Below are 22,392 nucleotides of genomic sequence, written 5' to 3'. Positions count from 1 at the left end.
AAATTACAGTGATATCAAACGTCATATTTTTCAGAAGTTGTAACTCAGTTGGGTAAGTAATTTGACAAATCCTATCTTTCTTCAAACTTTGGGAACATTTGGGAGTTAGATGTCTATTCTTCACAAATATTTGTCAACCAGAACAGATTATGTACCACATAGTCTGCACTTATATATACACAGTTCATATCTTAAACCTTTTCATTGAAGTTAAATCTCTCAGGATCTTGTTTTAAACATATGTAAAATCCTTACAAATCAAACCCAAAGAAATGAAAACCCAAATCTAGTAAAAAGTATTTGTTTTTATTTTCCAGTATGCTTCATTTAAAAAAGTATGGTTTCATTAGTAGTACATTAATGAACTGAAAGAATGAAGTGACAAATTTTTGTCACAGATATTAATTTACATTTTACAAACATCCACCAAAACAATTAAAAATGAAATAAATATATTTACATTTTATATTTCTTGTCTTTTCACTGCATTTTAACATGTATAAAATATATAACATTTATAATATTTTATTTTCAAAAGCAAATTCAAATGTGCAAATAAGTGGCATTATGATTTTAAAGTATTCGGTAGTAAGAATAAACAATAAAGAACAATTTTAGAAGTATGAATAAAGCAATTTCATAAGGAGAAATTATGAGCACAGCAATATTAATAGTAGCAAAATCTTTGTTATTAGTATCCGAACATCTACACTTACCTTAAAAAGTTAAGCACAAGATCATCCTTGTGCTTTTAAAGCTTCTCCACACTGCTGATTTCTAGCAGTAATTCTAAATTATCGTTAGGATTATTAATTTTTCTCAGTAATAAATCAAGCTTTTCTTAAATCCAGCATTCAACATAGACAAAGTTCATGATCAAGCTTCAGCACTGTAAATGAGGGAAATGTTGATCTATAAACTAATGCACCCAAAGGAAAATTTCTCTCTTTGCATGGCTAATATGGACTTGACATTTATTTTCAAGTAATTGCTTTCTTTTTCTTGCTGAATGACAGCTTTATGAGCGAAGATTTCAAAATTATAAGTTGGTACATGCCTGAAATATGGGCAAGAAATAATTACCTGATTATCCTCCCATTTTAAAAAAGCTGGATAAGTGTTCAGATATACATTACACTTACACTATCTATTAAACTATTTTTTAAATAAATACTTGTTGCATTTTAACAAATTATAAATGCCCTTTCTGTAATATACTTCGACTTAGATGAATTGTTATTCTTTATCAGGCAAAAGACATTATTATAGTAGTTAGCAGTTTTCAAATGACTTTGAACTTCATTCTCTGACCTAAATACCTACAATATTCTCCATTAAGCTTGTGTTATGTACACTGTAATGAACCCTTTAATGATAACACTTACACACTCACACACATACACAGACACACACCCAAACACACATACACGCTCACACATACCAAGGCACTGGAGGGGTTAACACATTAGCATTTTGCTGTTAAAATGTGCTTAATGTACAAACTAGGATTTTATGAATAAATCTCTTACATGTAAACCTAAATTATATGAGAGATAGAAATTTTTAAGTGTTTTTGTTCATTTCAAAGCTTTCTCATTCAAGTAGTCCAAGTTATAACAAATGCCAATGACTAATCACCACATTGTAAAGAAAACATTAAATACTAATTGTTAAACTGATGAAAACGAGAATAGTATTTTGTTACTTTTTGGCTGTTGTACTAATCATGTTAAATAAAAATCACGGCTTATGTTTTTTATCAATAGTATCAAAAATATTCATAATGGTATTGTCATAAGTTTTTAATCAAGCTACATTTTACAACGTAATTTAAAGTATATTAAATGTATGTACACAAAACATTCTTCTAATATAATTAATGGTCAGCATTTCATTATATTTATATATATATACACCCATGTATGCATATAAATACATATGTAGGTGTGTGTGTATTCTCTGAGGAGATATATATTTATACATATCTCATTGTGCACCTTTTCCTTCGTAACACACATGAGCATAGGCTAAATTTTCATAATAACACTAAAAAGATAGCTAATGGTTAATAGGTTTTTTAAATTCTAAAATGGAACGTTTACAAAATTTCACAATTTTTAAATCATTCTATTACAGGTAGGTAAACTGTTGAAACGTTTTTCTTTTGCTTATGGATAATTAGCCCATGTCATATTGCCTTCCAGATTGTGGACACATTCATGTAACCCCAATATGGGGCACACTGAGATTCAGCTCTGGTTGGAAGCAGAAGTTCCATAATGAACCACTTGCCACAGCTGAAAATTCTAAGTTCGATGTATCCCACTGCTTTTTCTCCATAAGTTCAGAAGTGGCCTACTACTGAAGGCTGCTTTTGGTGGGTTTCAATTTTACAATGACTGTTGTATTTGATCAATATAGTGTGCAATAATTCTAAAGTTCTATCCTAATTACAAATGTGTACTTAGTTTTACGGTCAAAATACATTACACTGAAACTGTTTATTGTAATTTGCCACAGTTCTTTGGGTAAGGTATGTTAGATTCAGTTTAACATTTTCCCAGGGACAATTATAAACCCTCACTTTTTCTTTTCAATTTGATGTATTTACAAATTAATCTGATGCAAAATAAATTAATGAATCATGAGTATAAAAACAACTTGATATTAATTTTTTAAATTAGTAAATCTGTCCTTTATAGAAATCACTTTGTTTCCTTCTTGAGTGATTTTTAAAAACATATTTGAAAAAAAAAATTGAATCAATTTATTAGATACTTGGTTATCTCCACAAGGACACACATAATACTTGGTTTACCTGGGAGCATGTGTATCAATAAAAATTTTTTTTTTTTTTTACATACACAGCTGACTTTTTAAAATATCTCAAAAAAGCTGTACTGAAGGACAGAGACTGTGTTCCATGTTATACAACTAGTTGAATAATACCTGGAATCTGAGTAAATTGCACACCTCTAAGGCTTTCAAATTTCCCAGCCTTTCACATTTACATTCTTAGGACAAAATACCTAAAACAACCTGCATAGTTGGCATTACTTAATCACTTTCCATGACAAGGGAGGTTAAAGAATTTTAACTTTTATCTTTAAATATCACCTTTGTTTCTCATAAAATAGTACTAAAATGAAAAAATGTCATTTAATTAACATCTATAATAGCTTTGGGACTGTTTTCGGGGGACATTTTAGTTCATGATTAACTAGTAGACTTCGGATTACAAAGAATTGTTTCTCACACCATATTTGTTTATATTATTTTCTCTACAAAAGGTTTTGGGTTCACTGAAAATTTATGAAACTTTAATTTGATAATAAATCTTATTAGGTAAAATACAAATCTCTTTCAAACCAAGGAAGAAATGAGAGGTTCATGAAATTTTCCATCACTCATAATTAAATTAATACACTGTTGGCATATTTGATTGACTTTGGCAGCTAATAAGACATTTCAATAACAGTGATCCAAGGGAGAATAGTCCATTTCACATTGTATCTATCATGGGTCAATGTAATTATCCTTTGGAAGTTCTTCGGAATATTTACAATAAGATAAAAACAATTGGAATGCCAGTGTCAAATCATGGGATGAGAACACAAGGGCAAATTTACATCAGCAAATTAAAGTGCATCCTTCTTTGATGAGATTTTTTTGCATGCTCCTTGCTGATTTATGGTTTTTAACTCTTTTATGTCCCTCATAATACAAGATAGGGCATTTGTTTTCCTATGACTCTGCCCAACATGTACTAGTCATACAAAATAATCTAAAATACAGAAGTAATCATTTAATAAGTATTTTTATTCATAGGTAGCTTACTATTTTTATGTTATTTACATACTTCTTCAAATAATTTATTCTTTTGTCTCCACTTTTGGTGAAAGCAATACACTTACTGGTACAAAGCAACTGAGTGAGAACAAGCTGTTCTGTTCATGTAGTATATTTCACAGATGTCATCCAGAATAGAAGTGTTTTTGAGGTTCCACATGACCTTCTTTTTCTGCCGAAATTTTGATTTGCCTCCACTGTCGACTTGGTGATGTTATGGTTTCTCTAGGGTCTAAAATGATGAGTAAATGTGTCCTGCTTATACAGTCATGGGGTGTGTCAATGAAGAGTTCAGTATGTCAAGTTGTATACTTTGCTTTGCTCGTGGTAGCAGAGCTGGCAGCAGTAGAAGCAGTAGCTTGATTGCCTAAAAATAGAGGGTCCAAACAAGCTACCTTGGCAGCAAAGAAGGAATGAATGCAGTGAAGAACAGCAAATAAATTAGAAAATTCCAACTCCTGAAAGGGAAAGAGAAACAGGTCAGATAACATAAAAATTAATGTCTTTAAAAATTTATAATAGCTAGATTTTTTTTCAATTTCAATACACTTATCTAGAATCTATGATATGTAACATGTGGAAACTAATTTCAAATGTAGACATTTTTGGTCAACGTGTAAACATCGTAAGTAGTGAAAATTTATTTCAATACATGGTGGATAAGAGGTAGGAGGACTAATCACTCTTACCATCTATGAATGTTCTTTTAGCACTGATTGATAAATATATTTTGCCAAAATTTTACTCTTGATAATGTACAATTAAAGATAAACTTGGAAGTACTTTTAAAAGTATTTTTATCTCTTTGTGCACACATCAGATGATAAATATGGATTAGGGCAATTTAAAACTATTCTTGAGTATTCTCTAGAATGAGTTAATATTTGCCATAAGAAACTGAATAAGAAATGCTAGAAGTAAGGGGATATGAACTCTTATAACCAGAGGAGCCAAATGGTTCACTTTCAAAAAATAATTCCTGCATTAATTTTAATTGTGGCTGGCTGTTTAATGGTTTATGTGGCATATTTACTAAAAAAAAAAAAAATAAACTAGAGCTCACTAATTCATTTTGGATTTTTAGAAATAGGTTTCTCATTTAAATACCAAAGGAAATTTGTAACCCATTTATTACCAGTGGCAACCAAACTATATATATTGCAGTGAAAACAGAAAAAGTTATTTCAAACCATAATTTTGTCAAAATAACTATAAAATCTTAAAGCTATGCTCAGAATACATTTAGAAAGATGATGTTGCTAGTATTATTATTAAAGACCATCAATAATCACATAAACATGTCTTAATTTCAAGATGATTGAAAGACTAATACATTTGTGTGCTTAATGAAATCAATACGATGAACTTATCACAAGGAGGGTAACTAGAGGGTAATAAAGCATATGAAATTTCTGACAAACTCATTGCTATTTTATTATATATTTCACTACATATATGTAATAAAGAATTTAGAATTATAATTGATATGTACATGACTGTGTTTACAACTTACATGTGGCAGTGGAAAATATTACAAAATATTCAATACTTTATGACACATTGTAATATCTGTCGTGTACCAGACAGCTATTTAAATAAAATAATTCATCCGAGGAGTATTTTCTCAGGTCATGCAACAGGAGTACGATACCCCATAATATATATTCAGGTGTCCCTATAATATAGAAGACATAGCTATGCTTTCTCAGTAGCTCCCTTGAAACCTTCAATATTTGATAGTTTCCTTTGTGAAATAGCAACTTGTCCTAGAGAATAGAAGAGGTTATTCATTTAACTATTCTAATTCCCTTAGATATTTCCACCAAAAAAGTTTTTAGTAACTCCATCATAATGATCTTAGAAGCTTTATTTATAATAATCTGCTTCAGTGGCACTAGTCATGTTATTTGTAAATAAGCAAGTTTCTCTTTGCCTTAACTCACCCTGGAAATCCTCCATTCACCCCATAATGCTTGGTGTAGCCAGTTTATTTCCCAAACACATTTTAAATACTTTCTCTATCTTCCCAAATTAAATCCACCTAATGTGAAAGGTTTGGAAATTTTGGGAAAATGTAAAATGTTCTTGCATGTTATTAAAAAATAAAACAACAACAACAAAAATAAGCAATTCATTCTTGGTAAGGAGGAGAATATAGTTGAGTGTTACAATTGGGTGAAAATAGTATGGCAAATAACTTTTTCTCAAAGGTAATTCTGCCATCTCTTTATTAAAATAGAGGTTATATTTTGGTTACCAAAAATAAACAACCCTTAAATATCTAAGTATCCAGGCATCTTTAGAAAAATAAAAATTTTCAATTACTCCCACCTTGTCAATTATTTATCAATAATTTGATATAGATTGACACTTTAAACTTTTTATACCCATTTTGAAGTAATGGTAGACGGGAAATAATAGCAGGTGATTAGAAGAGAAAGCAGGAGACCAAGATGGATCCAAGTTTGACTCTTCATTACAATGCCCACACATCTTTCCTCTGCCTCAGTGATCAGCCTTGGCAACCATTTCCACTCCTAGGGTGTCAACGATTCCTTTTATGTAAACTCACACTGCTCATTTACTAATTTCTTATGTGAGTACTAGACCTGCATTCTTACCACCTATCAAACATCCACTGATGATGAACATCTATCTATCCATCCACCGACAGCTTCCACCAAGTCACAGACTTACAAGTTTCCCTTGTAAAAAAAGTCTTATGATCATCATGATCCCTCAGATATCACTAAATATAAGCTATCTTCAAAAATGTAAAGAGTCAGCCATTCAATAAAATACCAAATGCTTCCTATGCATCTACTCTTTTTTGTTGTTGTTAAAAGATAGCAGTGAATAAAACAGACAAAAACAAACAAAGGAACAAAACAGTCCTGATGGGAGTTACTTTCCAGTGACAGGAGGCAAAATGTGACTAAGGGCAGAAATAAATTAAGGACAATATGTCAGAATATGACAGTTACCATCAAGAAATAAAGCGGAGGAGACAGCAAAGACTACTCAAAGGGCCGTGGGAAGGAAAATTCATGTTGCCTTGTATATGGAACTTGAAAGGGAAGATGGAGTGAGCCATTTCCATGTTTGTGGGGAAATATTCCAGACACAAGAATTATAATTTTAAAGGCCCAGAGATAGGGACATTCCAGGAGAGTCAGAAGAAAAGCAAGGGTTATTTTGTGTGGAATGGAATGAATTAAGAAGTACTTGGCAGACAATGAGATCAAAGAAAACACTTTGCATGCTGCATGAGCCTTTATGAGTTTTACTATGAGCGACATGGGAAACCATGGGAAATTTTTGAGCAGAGGAGTGACAGGCATTGACAAAAGTCAGAAAATGATGATTCTGGTTAGACTATTGAGAATGAGCTTTATGAGAATTGGATTGAAAGAAGGAGAAGTTACAAAGTTTTCTATATGGAAAGGGGTTGAATTTGAAAGTAGATTTCAATAACTGGAAAAAACGTGTTGCTCTGCAAATGGAGAAATTATGGGAAAAGCAGGTTTGGAAGTAAAGATCAAGATTTTGGTTTTGGGCATGTTACATCTGAACGCATATTAGACATATAGGTGATAAGTGGAGAACTGCATATATTAGTGTGGATTTAAGGGAAAAATTAGAGTTCAGAATAGAAGTTCAGCTTCTGTCAGCACATAGATGGTAGGTAAAGCACTGTGGTCTGGATGAGAAGATCAAGGTGTGCAGGATAGGTAGAGAAAATGACTGGGCACTCATCCCTGAGACTCCACAGTATAAAAATGTAAGAAAGATGGGGTAGAACCAGCAAAGAAGAAATAGCTGTAGTTGCCAAGAAAGTGAGTGCAAAACCCGGGAGTCTTGTAAAATGACAGCTGGAAATTGACCATTGAATTTAGCAACACAGAGGCCATTTTAATCCTTTACAAGAGTCGTTTTATGGAGAAGTGGAAACAAAAACTTCATAAGAATGGCTTCATGAGAGCCTGCATGTGAAGGTATTAGAGTTACTACAGGCAAGTCTACTACAAGCAGCTTCTCTTTGGAAAAGAAATCCTTCTTTTCCTTTTTAAAGGGGGCATAGGAATATATCAATAGGAAATCAAGAATGTTTTTCCAAGGTTTATGAAATTAGTATATATTTGTAGAATTGCTGGCATGAAATGGTTGAGATATCAAATCTGAGGACAATTGTAGAAACTGTATTCTTGAGCAGGGTGAGATCTGGTGCAAAAATGGAGAGGCTGGACATGGATGGAAACCTGGACAATTGATCTGAGGCCGCAGGAGATGAGGCACAGTATATGGGTACAACTCAAGGAAGGTGGGTAGATTTGGTAGTGTGTAGCTTTGCTTCATTCTGTGTTTTAAGTGGGATACAAAGCAAAGTCATAGCCTGATAGGATAAAGCAGGAAGTGTTGAGAATTTGGACAAACTACTAACTTATAGATATCATTTTAGGCATAAAATCTGGAATTTATCTTCCTCATTCTGCTTGCTCCTTAAAAGCTTTCAACCCATTTATGCCTGAGACCGCAATTTTTTGAATTTTTGCAATCAGACCTTGCTGATGACCTTGAGAAGTAGAATATAAACAACTCCCACACGCTTAGCGTTCCAATAATGGCATAAGTGGGTCAATAACTCTTGAGTCCTCTGAACAAAATTGAGAGCCAACTAAGTCATCATCTACATTTGCATACCTGTTTCCCACAGTAACATGGCCATGCAACATTCAATAGATCATTAAACCATAACTCAAGTGAGTCTCTTAGAATGTGAGGACAAAAAAATATTGAAACTGCTGGAGAAAATTACATTCTGTAAATCACTTGCTTAATAGCATTATTATGTTTCCATTATGGCTCTTGATTTCAAGATAGGCTTCTCTTTCATTTCTACTGTGATTGTCATCTCTTCTTCCAGGCCAGATTTAACTCTAATATTCTTAATGGCCTTGCAGTCATTAGAGAAAAACAAATAGCTCCATCATTATTCATAGGTTTATTTCTTGTTAATGCCATTATGGTCAGATTTACTTATGTCATTATTGTGTAAATGAATATGTTCCCTGGCTTGACATCCCCTTTATGTGTCATTCACCTTTTTTCTGCAGCAGCCTTAGGGAGATATAGTTCACATACTATAATACTCACCTGTTTAAAGCATGCAAGTAAACGGATTTTAGAATATTCACAGATGTACAACTATCATCATCAAATTTTAGAACATTTTTATCACTCCAAAAATATATCCTATACCCAGTACAAGTCACTCCTCATTTCCTCTCTCTTCAGAGCCTGATAAGCATTATTTTTTTGTCTTTCTATGGGTTTGCTTTTTGTGGACATTTCATATAAATAGTATCATACACATAAGATATTTTGTGATTATCTACGTTCACTTAATACACTATTTTCAAGGTGCACCTATGTTGTGGCATAGATAGTACTTCTTTTCTCTTTATTGATGAATATTTCCTGATATGGACATATCTCTTCCTCCCCATTCATCACCTGTTGAACATTTGGGTTGTTCCTACTTTTGATTTTTTGTGAATAATGCTGCAGTGAACATCTGTGTAGAGTTTCTTTTTTGTGTGTTTGGGAATATCTTCTAATTGCTCTTGAATATATCTAGAAGTGGAATTGCTGGGTCATATGACAACTTCAGCTTGCACTTTTTCAGAAAATGTTGAACTTTTGTTTAAATGAGTTACCACATTTTACATTCTCACTAGCAAAATCTGAGTGCTCCAATTTCTCTACATCCTCACTAATCATTATTATTGTCTAGTTTCTTTTTTTAAAAAAATATTATAACCATCCTATAGAGTGGGAAGCTGTATTTTACTGTGGTTTTGATTTGCATTTTGATGACTAATGATTTGAGCATCATTTCTTGTGCTTATTGACAATTTGAATATCTTCTCTGGAGAAATGTCAATTTGAATCCTTTGTCAATTTTTATTTGGGGTATTTATGTTTCTTTTCTTTTTTTTTCTCTGAAAACCCTTTATATATTTGCATACAGTCTCCTTAACAGATAAATGATTTGAAAATGTTTCTGCCAATCTGCAAGTTGTATTTCACCTTTTTTATAGTATTACTCAGCACAAGTGCTTTAAATTTTGAAAAAGTCCAATTTGTCTATTTTTTTCCCCTTTGATTCTTGTGCTTTTGGTGTGGAGTCTAAGCACAATTGTCAAACCCAAGGTTACAAAAATTTAATCCCATGTTTTCTTCAAATAGGTTTACAGTTTTAGCTCTTAGATATATTTGATGATTCATTTTTAAGTAATTTTTTATGGTATGAGGAAAGGACTCAACTTAATTTTTTGGATTCAATAACCGGTTTTCCCAGCACTATTTGTTGAAAAACCTGTTCCTTTCCACATTCTGCTGTGTTGAAAAGCACGGTAAAAGACAGTTAACAATAAATAAGGTTCATTTCTAGACTCTCAATTGTATTCCAGTGTTCTATATGTCCATTCTTATGACAATACCACAAAGCCATGGTGACCATAGCTTTGTAGTGTTTTGAAATATGGAACTGGGGGTTCTCTCCAACTTATTTGCCAAGATTATTTTGGCTATACTGGATTTCATATACATTCAGGATCAACTTGTCCATTTCTGAAAAAAAGGCAGTTGGCATTTTGATGGAGATTTCTTAAATCTGCATATTAATTTTGGAGTATTGTCATATTAAAAGTATTAAGTTTTCTAATTTATGCACATGGGATGTAGCTCCCCTTATTTAAATCTTCTTGAATTTCTTTCCATGTTTTGTAGTTTTCAGTACACAATATTTGCACTTCTTTTGTTAAATGTATTCCTTAGAATTTTTTGATACTGTTATAAATGAAATTTTTTCTTAATTTTACCTACTCTAATCCATTGCTAACATATAAAAATACAGCTGATTTTTGTGCATTGGGATTGTATGCTGCAACCTTGCAGAAGTCATTTACTAGTTAGTACCAATAGTTTTCTTAGTGAATTCATGAACATTTTCTATATTTAAGTTTGTATCATCTATCCTTGGCTAGAAATTCCAACACAAGGTTGATGAAAGTGGGGAGGGCATACATCCTTTTCTTATTCTTAATTGTAGGGGGAACACATACATTCCTTCAATACTTAGTTTTCTTCAGTATACTTATTATGAAATGGTATTTATTTTTTTCTTATTTTTGAATCTATGACAATGATTATGTATTTTTGTCCTTATTCAATTAATACGGTGTATTGCTCTGATTGATTTTAAGATATATATCTACCATACATTCCAGGGATATATACCAAGTGATAATGGTGTATAACAATTTTTGCATGTTGCTGGATTTGGTTTGCAAGCTTTCTGTTAAAGATTGTTTCATCTACCCCCATTAGGGATACTGGTCTATGGCTTTCTTTTCATCTGATGGTTTTGGTTTTGCTATGAAGCTAATTCGAATCTCAAATAAGTAGAGGAGTGTTTCCCCTTTTTCTATATTTTGAAAAGATTGTGAAAGATTGGTAATAATTGTTTTTTCATTGTTTAATGGAGTTCATCAGACAAACCTCTTGATTTGGGGCTTTTTCTTGTGGGAAGTGTTTTAAAAATACCATTTCAATATCTTTCCTTCTTTTAGGTATATTCCAATTATTGATTTATCTTTGAGTCAGTTTCATTAGTTGGTGTTGTTCTCAGAGTTTACACACTTCATTAAATTATGTAAATGTTTAGCAATTATTTATAGTTACGTTTTTCTTTTTAATCTCTAAAATATACCTTCTTTTATTTCTGATTTTAAAAAATTTGAATATTCTCTCTCTCGCTGTTTGGTTATCTAGTTAAAGTTTTGTCACTCTTGTTAACCTTTTTAAAAAACTAAATTTGAGATTTTCTAATTTTCTCAATTGTTTATGTATTCTTTTTTTATATATTTCTGGTCTAAATTTATAATTGTCCTTGTTCCTGCTTACTTTGTGTTTATTTTGCTCTTTCTCTAATTTCTTATTGAGAAAGATTAGGTATTTAAGATTTTTTTATTACTTAATATAGTATTTGAAGTTAAAATTTTTCTCTAAACAAACTATAGCTGCGTAGCATATGTTTTAGCATGATGAGATTTCATTGTTATTTATCTCCCAATAATTTATAATTTCACCGTGATTTTTTTTGACCCATTGGTTATTTAGTAATTTGCTTTTAATATCCTCATATTTGCATATGTTTCAATTGTTCTTTTGTTATTCATTTCTAATTTTATTCCATTGTGTTCATAGAACATAATTTGTATTATTTTAACTATTTTAAATGTAGTGAGGCTTGATTTATAACCTGACATACAAGTGATCTTAGATATTAGTGTATTGTAGTTAGATCTTAGATATTAGCATATTTTAGTTAAAAATGTATGTTCTTCTGTAATTGGGTGGAGAGTCTAAACAGGTCAACATGTCTGGTTGCCTATCATGCTGACCAAGTCAATATCATTGTTACTCTTCTGCTTAATTGCTCTACCCATTAGTTACAGTGGGGTACTGATGTCTACAACTAATTGGTGGTACCTTCCATTTTCTCTTCGATTTCGCCTCATTTGTTCCATACCTTTTGGAGCTCTGTTATCATCAAATATGCTTATAATTGTTATATCTCCTTGAAAAATTGATTCATTTTTCATTATAAAATGCCCTTTTTAGTATCTTGAAACAATTTTTGACTTAAAGCCTTTTTTGTAAAATTACTATAGTTATTCGGGTTCTTTTTTCATTATTATATACAAGATATATATATTTGTATCCTTTTATTTGCAACCTACATGTGTGTTTAGCTATAAAGCTTGGATAATTCTACTTCTCTAGGAAGATGGAGTAGACATATCTGTCCCTTTTACTCCCACTAAGTAGGACTGAATTATTTGCATATTATATGTAAAACAAACGTAAGGAAATTTTAAAGGTAAATGTTAATGAGATAACTCCACCCACCCTACTCAGGGCGGGATCAGTGAAAGCCTACTGGCGAACTGGATCTCCTACTCTTTTACAGTAGTTATGAAGAGCCCACTGTTTAACTTCCAGTGGAGGTAAAGTAGTAAACCTGAAATTCTACCCCTATCTGGCAAGAACAACATGGCATTCTCCCTTACTTTGATAAAGCTATATCAATGGCAATTAGATAAAACATAATGTTTATGTAAGATTTGGAATATCATAACTAAATAACAAAAATGTGTAATTCCAATAGAAGATCACTCATCATACCAAGAACCAGTGAAAACTCAAACTGAAGTTCTGGAGCCAAGATGGCCAAATAGGAACAGCTCCAGTCTACAGCTCCCAGCGTGAGCGACGCAGAAGACCAGTGATTTCTGCATTTCCATGTGAGGTACCAGGTTCATCTCACTAGGGAGTGCCAGACAGTGGGCGCAGGACACTGGGTGCAGCGCACCGTGCACAAGCCGAAGCAGGGCAAGGCATTGCCTCACTCGGGAAGTGCAAGGGGTCAGGGAGTTCCCTTTCCTAGTCAAAGAAAGGGGTGACAGATGGCACCTGGAAAATCGGGTCACTCCCACCCGAATACTGTGCTTTTCCCACGGGCTTAAAAAATGGCACACCAGGAGATTATATCCTGCACATGGCTCGGAGGGTCCCATGCCCATGGAGTCTCCCTGATTGCTAGCACAGCAGTCTGAGATCAAACTGCAAGGCAGCAGTGAGGCTGGGGGAGGGGCGCCTGCCATTGCCCAGGCTTTCTTAGGTAAACAAAGCAGCCAGGAAGCTCAAACTGGGTGGAGCCCACAATAGCTCAAGGAGGCCTGCCTGCCTCTATAGGCTCCACCTCTGGGGGCAGGGCACAGACAAACAAAAAGACAGCAGTAACCTCTGCAGTCTTAAATGTCCCTGTCTGACAGCTTTGAAGAGAGCAGTGGTTCTCCAAGCAGGCAGCTGGAGATCTGAGAATGGGCAGACTGCCTCCTCAAGTGGGTCCCTGACCCCTGACCCCCGAGCAGCCTAACTGGGAGGCACCCCCCAGACTGACACCTCACACGGCCGGGTACTCCTCTGAGACAAAACTATCAGAGGAACGATCAGACAGCAGCATTTGCGGTTCATGAAAATCGGCTCTTCTGCAGCCACCGCTGCTGGTACCCAGGCAAACAGGGTCTGGGGTGGACCTCTGGCAAACTCCAACAGACATGCAGCAGAGGATCCTGTCTGTTAGAAGGAAAACTAACAAACAGAAAGGACATCCACCCCAAAAACCCATCTTACATCACCATCATCAAAGACCAAAAGTAGACAAAACCACAAAGATGGGGAAAAACAGAGGAGAAAAACTAGAAACTCTAAAAACCGGAGCACCTCTCTTCCTCCAAAGGAACGCAGCTCCTCACCAGCAACGGAACAAAGCTGGATGGAGAATGACTTTGACAAGTTGAGAGAAGAAGGCTTCAGATGATCAAACTACTCTGAGCTAAAGGAGGAAATTCAAACCAAAGGCAAAGAAGTTGAAACCTTTGAAAAAAATTTAGACGAATGTATAACTAGAATAACCAATACAGAGAAGTGCTTAAAGGAGATGATGGAGCTGAAAGCCAAGGCTCAAGAACTATGTGAAGAATGCAGAAGCCTCAGGAGCCAATGCGATCAACTGGAAGAAAGAGTATCAGTGATGGAAGATGAAATGAATGAAATGAAGTGAGAAGGAAAGTTTAGAGAAAAAAGAATAAAAAGAAACTAACAAAGCTTCCAAGAAGTGTGGGACTATGTGAAAAGACCAAATCTATGTCTGACTGGTGTACCTGAAAGTGACGGGGAGAATGGAACCAAGTTGGAAAACACTCTGCAGGATATTATCCAGGAGAACTTCCCCAATCTAGCAAGGCAGGCCAACATTGAGATTCAGGAAATACAGAGAACACCACAAAGATACTTCTCGAGAAGAGCAACTCCAAGACACATAATTGTCAGATTCACCAAAGTTGAAATGAAGGAAAAAATGTTATGGGCAGCCAGAGAGAAAGGTCGGGTTAGCCACAAAGGGAAGCCCATCCGACTAACAGTGGATATCTCGGCAGAAACTGTAAAAGCCAGAAGACAGTGGGGGCCAATATTCAACATTCTTAAAGAAAAGAATGTTCAACCCAGAATTTCATATCCAGCCAAACTAAGCTTCATAAGTGAAAGTGAAATAAAATCCTTTACAGACAAGCAAATGCTGAGAGATTTTGTCACCACCAGGCCTACCCTAAAAGAGTTCCTGAAGGAAGCACTAAACATGGAAAGGAAAAAACGGTACCAGCCACTGCAAAATCATGCCAAATTGTAAAGACCATCAAGGCTAGGAAGAAACTGCATCAACGAACGCGCACAATAACCAGCTAACATCATAATGACAGGATCAAATTCACACAGAACAATATTAACTTTAGATGTAAATGGGCTAAATGCTCCAATTAAAAGACACAGACTGGCAAATTGGATAAACAGTCAAGACCCACCAATGTGCTGTATTCAGGAAACCCATCTCACATGCAGAGACACACATAGATTCAAAATAAAAGGATGGAGGAAGACCTACCAAGAAAATGGAAAACAAAAAAAGGCAGCAGTTGCAATCCTAGTCTCTGATGAAACAGACTTTAAACCAACAAAGATCAAAAGAGACAAAGAAGGCCATTACATAATGGTAAACGGATCAATTCAACAAGAAGAGCTAACTCTCCTAAATATATATGCACCCAATACAGGAGCACCCAGATTCATAAAGCAAGTCCTGAGTGACCTACAAAGAGACTTAGACTCCCACACAATAATAATGGGAGACTTTAACACCCCACTGTCAACATTAGACAGATCAATGAGACAGAAAGTTAACAAGGATACCCAGGAATTGAACTCAGCTCTGCACCAAGTGGACTTAATAGACATCTACAGAACTCTCCACCCCAAATCAACAGAATATACATTTTTTTCAGCAACATACAACACCTATTCCTAAATTGACCACATAGTTGGAAGTAAAGCTCTCCTCAGCAAATGTAAAAGATCAGAAATGATAACAAACTGTCTCTCAGACCACAGTGCAATCAAACTAGAACTCAGGATTAAGAAACTCACTCAAAACCGCTCAACTACATGGAGACTGAACAACCTGCTCCTGAATGACTACTCGGTACGTAATGAAATAAAGGCAGAAATAAAGATGTTCTTTGAAAGCAACGAGAACAAAGACACAATATACCAGAATCTCTGGGCCACATTCAAAGCAGTGTGTAGAGGGAAATTTATAGCATTAAATGCCCACAAGAGAAAGCAGGAAAGATCCAAAATTGACACCCTAACATCACAATTAAAAGAACTAGAAAAACAAGAGCAAACACATTCAAAAGATAGCAGAAGGCAAGAAATAACTAAAATCAGAGCAGAACTGAAGGAAATAGAGACACAAAAAAGCCTTCAAAAAATTAAAGAATCCAGGAGCTGGTTTTTTGAAAAGATCAACAAAGTTGATAGACCACTAGCAAGGCTAATAAAGAAGAAAAGAGAGAAGAATCAAATAGATGCAATAAAAAATGATAAAGGGGATATCACCACCAATCCCACAGAAATACAAACTACCATCAGAGAATACTACAAACACCTCTATGCAAATAAACTAGAAAATCTAGAAGAAATGGATAAATTCCTTGACACATACACGCTACCAAGACTAAACCAGGAAGAAGTTGACTCTCTGAATAGACCAGTAATAGGCTCTGAAATTGTGGCAATAATCAATAGCTTACCAACCAAAAAGAGTCCAGGACCAGAGGGATTCACAGCCGAATTCTACAAGAGGTACAAGGAGGAACTGGTACCATTCCTTCTGAAACTATTCCAACCAATAGAAAAAGAGGGAATCCTCCCTAACTCATTTTAAGAGGCCAGCATCATCCTGATACCAAAGCCAGGCAGAGACATAACCAAAAAAGAGAATTTTAGACCAATATCCTTGATGAACATTGATGCAAAAATCCTCAATAAAATACTGGCAAACCAAATCCAGCAGCACATCAAAAAGCTTATCCACCATGATCAAGTGGGCTTCATCCCTAGGATGCAAGGCTGCTTCAGTATACACAAATCAATAAATGTAATCCAGCATATAAACAGAACCAAAGACAAAAACCACATGATTATCTCAATAGATGCAGAAAAGGCCTTTGACAAAATTCAACAACCCTTCATGCTAAAAACTCTCAATAAATTAGGTATTGATGGGACATATCTCAAAATAATAAGAGCTATCTGTGACAAACCCACAGCCAATATTATACTGAATTGGCAAAAACTGGAAGCATTCCCTTTGAAAACTGGCACAAGACAGGATGCCCTCTCTCACCACTCCTATTCAACATAGTGTTGGAAGTTCTGGCCAGGGCAATTAGGCAGGAGAAGGAAATAAAGGGTATTCGATTAGGAAAAGAGGAAGTCAAATTGCCCCTGTTTGCAGATGACATGATTGTATATCTAGAAAACCCCATTGTCTCAGCCCAAAATCTCCTTAAGCTGATAAGCAACTTCGGCAAAGTCTCAGGATACAAAATCAATGTACAAAAATCACAAGCATTCTTATACACCAATAAAAGACAAACAGAGAGCCAAATAATGAGTGAACTCCCATTCACAATTGCTTCAAAGAGAATAAAATACCTAGGAATCCACCTTATAAGGGACTTGAAGGACCTCTTCAAGGAGAACTACAAACCACTGCTCGATGAAATAAAAGAGGATACAAAGAAATGGAAGAACATTCCACCCTCATGGGTAGGAAGAATCAATATCGTGAAAATGACCATACTGCCCAAAATAATTTATAGATTCAATGCCATCCCCATCAAGCTACCAATGACTTTCTTCACAGAATTGGAAAAAACTACTTTAAAGTTCATATGGAACCAAAAAAGAGCTCGCATTGCGAAGTCCATCCTAAGCCAAAAGAACAGAGCTGGAGGCATCACACTACCTGACTTCAAACTATACTACAAGGCTACAGTAACCAAAACAGCATGGTACTGGTACCAAAACAGAGATACAGATCAATGGAACACAACAGAGCCCTCAGAAATAACGCCGCATATCTACAACTATCTGATCTTTGACAAACCTGAGAAAAACAGGCAATGGGGAAAGATTCCCCATTTAATAAATGGTACTGGGAAAACTGGCTAGCGATATGTGGAAAGCTGAAACTGGATCCCTTCCTTACACCTTATACAAAAATTAATTCAAGATGGATTAAAGACTTAAATGTTAGACCTGAAACCATAAAAACCCTAGAAGAAAACCTAGGCATTACCATTCAGGACATAGGCATGGGCAAGGACTTCATGTCTAAAACACCAAAAGCAATGGCAACAAAAGCCAAAATTGACAAATGGGATCTAATTAAACTAAAGAGCTTCTGCACAGCAAAAGAAACTACCATCAGAGTGAACAGGCAACCTACAAAATGGGAGAAAATTTTCGCAACCTACTCATCTGACAGAGGGCTAATATCCAGAATCTACTATGAACTCAAACAAATTTACAAGAAAGAAACAAACAACCCCATCAAAAAGTGGGTGAAGGACATGAACAGACACTTCTCAAAAGAAGACATTTATGCAGCCAAAAAACACATGAAAAAATGCTCACCATCACTGGCCATCAGAGAAATGCAAATCAAAACCACAATGAGATACCATCTCACACCAGTTAGAATGGCAATCATTAAAAAGTCAGGAAACAACAGGTCCTGGAGAGGATGTGGAGGAATAGGAACACTTTTACACTGTCAGTGGGACTGTAAACTAGTTCAACCATTGTGGAAGTCAGTGTGGCGATTCCTCAGGGATCTAGAACTGGAAATACCATTTGACCCAGCCATCCTGTTACTGGGTATATACCCAAAGGACTATAAATCATGCTGCTATAAAAATACATGCACACGTATGTTTATTGCGGCACTATTCACAATAGCAAACACTTGGAAGCAACCCAAATGTCCATCAATGATAGACTCGATTAAGAAAATGTGGCACATATACACCATGGAATACTATGCGGCCATAAAAAATGATGAGTTCATGTCCTTTGTAGGGACATGGATGAAATTGGAAATCATCATTCTCAGTAAACTATCGCAAGAACAAAAAACCAAACACCGCATATTCTCACTCATAGGTGGGAATTGAACAATGAGATCACATGGACACAGGAAGGGGAACATCACACTCTGGGGACTGTTGTCGGGTGGGGGGACAGGGGAGGGATAGCTTTAGGAGATATACCTAATGCTAAATGATGAGTTAATGGGTGCAGCACAGCAGCATGGCACATGTATACATATGTAACTAACCTGCACATTGTGCACATGTACCCTACAACTTAAAGTATAATAATAATAAAATTTAAAAAATTAAAAAAAAGAGAGAGAGAGAAAAAAAGAAAACTCACACTGAATGGAAAAAAAATTCAAAAGATGCCAACAGTGAGATGACATAGATTTTAGAATCAGTTGACAAATATTTTAAAGTAGTCACAACAAAATTGTTCCAATAAGCAATTATCACCATGCTTAGAACAAATGAAAGTGTAGAAAGTCTCAGAAAAGAAACAGAAACCCTAGGAAGAAATAAAAGACATAAAAAAGAATACAATAATAATTTTAGAACTGATAAATATAATAACAGAAATAAAAAACTGAATAGATGGCTCAACAGCAGAAAGAAGAGAACAGAAGAGTCAGTGAACTGGATAAAAGAATTGTGAGAATTAACCAGTTAGAATAAAAGTTGTAAGAAAGATTGAAAAAAGGAAAGACTATTCAGTGAACTGTGAGACTAAAACAAATATATATATTATATATATTATATTATTATATATATATATATATGCTATTCATGTCTTCAGAGTCCAAAAAATGAGGACAAAAATTAGGGAACTGAAAAATATTGAAAGACGTAATAGCGAAAATTCATTGAAATTGGTGAAAGAATACATCCTATAGATTTAAGAGACTAAGTGAAATACAAAGAGGATAAACTCAAAGAAATCCTTGCCAAGACACATCATAGTCAGCTTCTGAAAACTTGACAGCAAAAAGTCTTGAGAGCAGCAAGAGAGAAATAAAACCTTACCTATAGGAGAACACAAGTCAAATGACAGAGAATTTCTCATCAGAAATCATACAGCCAGAAGGAAGTGGCACAAGATTTTTCAACTGCTGAAAGAAAAGAACTGTCAATCCTGAATCCTATATCCAGCAAAATAGTGCTTCAGAAATTAAGGGAAAATCAAGACATTCTCAGCTAAAGAAAAACAAAGTAAAGTTATAATAAGAAGACCTATCCTAAAAGCATGGCTTAAAAAGGACAAAAAGAGAAAATAATTATAGAAGCTATCTTGGAACTTAGGAAGAAAGAAAGAATATGGTAAGAAAAGTGATCCTTAAATATTTTATTTCTGCTTTTGAGTTTTCTAACTTATACTTGGGTATTGAAACAAAAATTGTAATATTGTCTGGTTTGGTTCTTACTATATGTAAATGAAATATTTTAAAATATTATATAAAGAATAGTATAAAATATGAAATATAAGACATAATATATCTATATATTATAAATATAAACAATATTTATAGTACATAAGTATATGTTAATATATGCTTAAATATAACATATAAATATTATAAGCTATAATATATTATATATTATAAAATGTAAAATATAATAAAATAGGTAAAGAGACTTAAAATATGTTAAGGTTTCTACACCTAACTGATAAGATGTTGATTTCACTAGAATGTGAAGATATATACAAAATTTAATGCTGAGAGTAGACACTAAGAACAGTATATGTTGAAGTATGCTCAAAAATGCTATGGATAAAATTGATTTCTAAAAGCATATATTCAAAAAAGTTACAAGAAGGCAGAAAAATTAAAACAGAAAAATGGAAAAGAGAGAGAACAAAATTCAAATATATAATTATAAATATGTCAACACATCAATAATTAAAATAAAAGTAAGTTGTCTAAATACACCAATCAATACACAGAGATTGGCAGAATAGATTAAAAAACATGACCCAAATATATGCTATCTACAAGCTCACTTTAAATATAATGATATAGTTATATTTAAAGTAAAAGAATGATTTTTTTGGATGAAGAAAAGTGACTAGTGGCTATATTAGCATTAGATGAGCTAAACTTCAAAGTAAAGAAAATTATTGGATGAAATGAGACAGATTAATTAATAATACAAGCATAAATCTACAAGAAAAACATATCAACTCTAAATATGTATGCATCAAATAACTTAGATGCAAAGTATGTAATGCAGAAACTGATAGAATTGAAAGGTGAAATGGATAAATACACAATTACATTGAAGACTTCAACATCTCTCTTAACAATTGGTAAAAGAGTTAAACAGAACATCAACAGGAATGTAGAAGAATTAGAAAACACCATCAACTGACAAGATCAAACTAACATTTTTAGAACTTTTGGACAATACAAATAGAATATACATTATTTGCAAGTTTCTGTAGAAACTTGACCATACTGGGGGCATAAAACAAATCTCAATAAATTTAAAATAATTAAAGTCATAGAAGGTGTGTTTTCTGACCAGAGAAGAAAGAAACAGAAAGAAAACAAAAATAATTTCTGACACTTGAAAATGAAGGCACAGAATTATAAATAATCCTTTATATACAAGAGAGTCTCAAAAGAAATAAAAAAATACATTGAACTGAATAACAATAAAAATAGAACAGGATCAGGATGCAGGTGTTCTGCTTTGACTGTTTCACTGTCAATCTCTTGATTGTAGTCATATATACACTAGAGTACCTTTCAATTTAAAAATTTAAACAAGTTCTCATGAGAACATCATATAGCTAAATCATTTAAGGAAATGCATTATGTTAATCTCTGCCTTTGGTCGAAATATTTAATATATTTGCTTTTAATGCAATTATACATAAGGTAAAATTTATGTTCACTTTATATCATAAGTTTTTATCTTTGTTCCTTTATTTTTCCATTACTGTTTTTATTTTGGGGGTTATAACACTATATATGTACATGTATATATATGTATACACTTTTATATAAATTATATATAAGTATATACTACATTCATATAATTTTAATTCTCCCATTTTTATCATTAGTTATTTTATTAGTTATTTGGAGGGATATAATAATATTTTAAAACATTCTAGTTCAGAACAATGACAACGTCAATAGTGCTCAAAAATTTGTTTCTATATAACTCTGTTCCCCCCACTTCTTTGGGTTATTATTGTCATACACTTTACATCTTTATATATTACAAGCCCAAAGACACAGTGATATAATTATCATTTTATCAATTTTTCTTTTAAATCAATTAGAAGTAAAACACCAATAAAAATGCATTTATACTGTCACTTATATTGAATTATGTATTTACCTTTAATGGTGTTTTTATTATTTCTAAGTGTGTATTCAAGTTATTATCTAAAAATTATTTTCTG

General features: G+C 33.7%; 1 protein-coding gene across 13 annotated transcripts in view; it reads right to left on the bottom strand.

Annotated features, from left to right (window-relative positions):
- Positions 1-285: 285 nt before the first annotated feature.
- Positions 286-22,392, bottom strand: part of SNTG1 (syntrophin gamma 1) — an 886,897-nt gene continuing 864,790 nt past the window's right edge. For all 13 annotated transcript variants that reach the window (NR_135796.2, NR_135795.2, NR_135797.2 and 10 more), the window contains one exon: positions 286-4,307. Coding sequence is in view for 9 of the 13 variants with exons in the window: in NM_001287813.3 (NP_001274742.1) it covers positions 4,149-4,307 (159 nt within the window). In the remaining 4 variants the exon portion in view is untranslated. The remainder of the gene's footprint in view (positions 4,308-22,392) is intronic.

Source organism: Homo sapiens, chromosome 8 (genome assembly GCF_000001405.40).
Source record: "Homo sapiens chromosome 8, GRCh38.p14 Primary Assembly".
Lineage (NCBI taxonomy): Eukaryota > Metazoa > Chordata > Mammalia > Primates > Hominidae > Homo > Homo sapiens.
The sequence above is the reverse complement of the archived record's forward strand: the minus strand, read 5'-3'. Positions and strand labels throughout refer to the sequence as shown.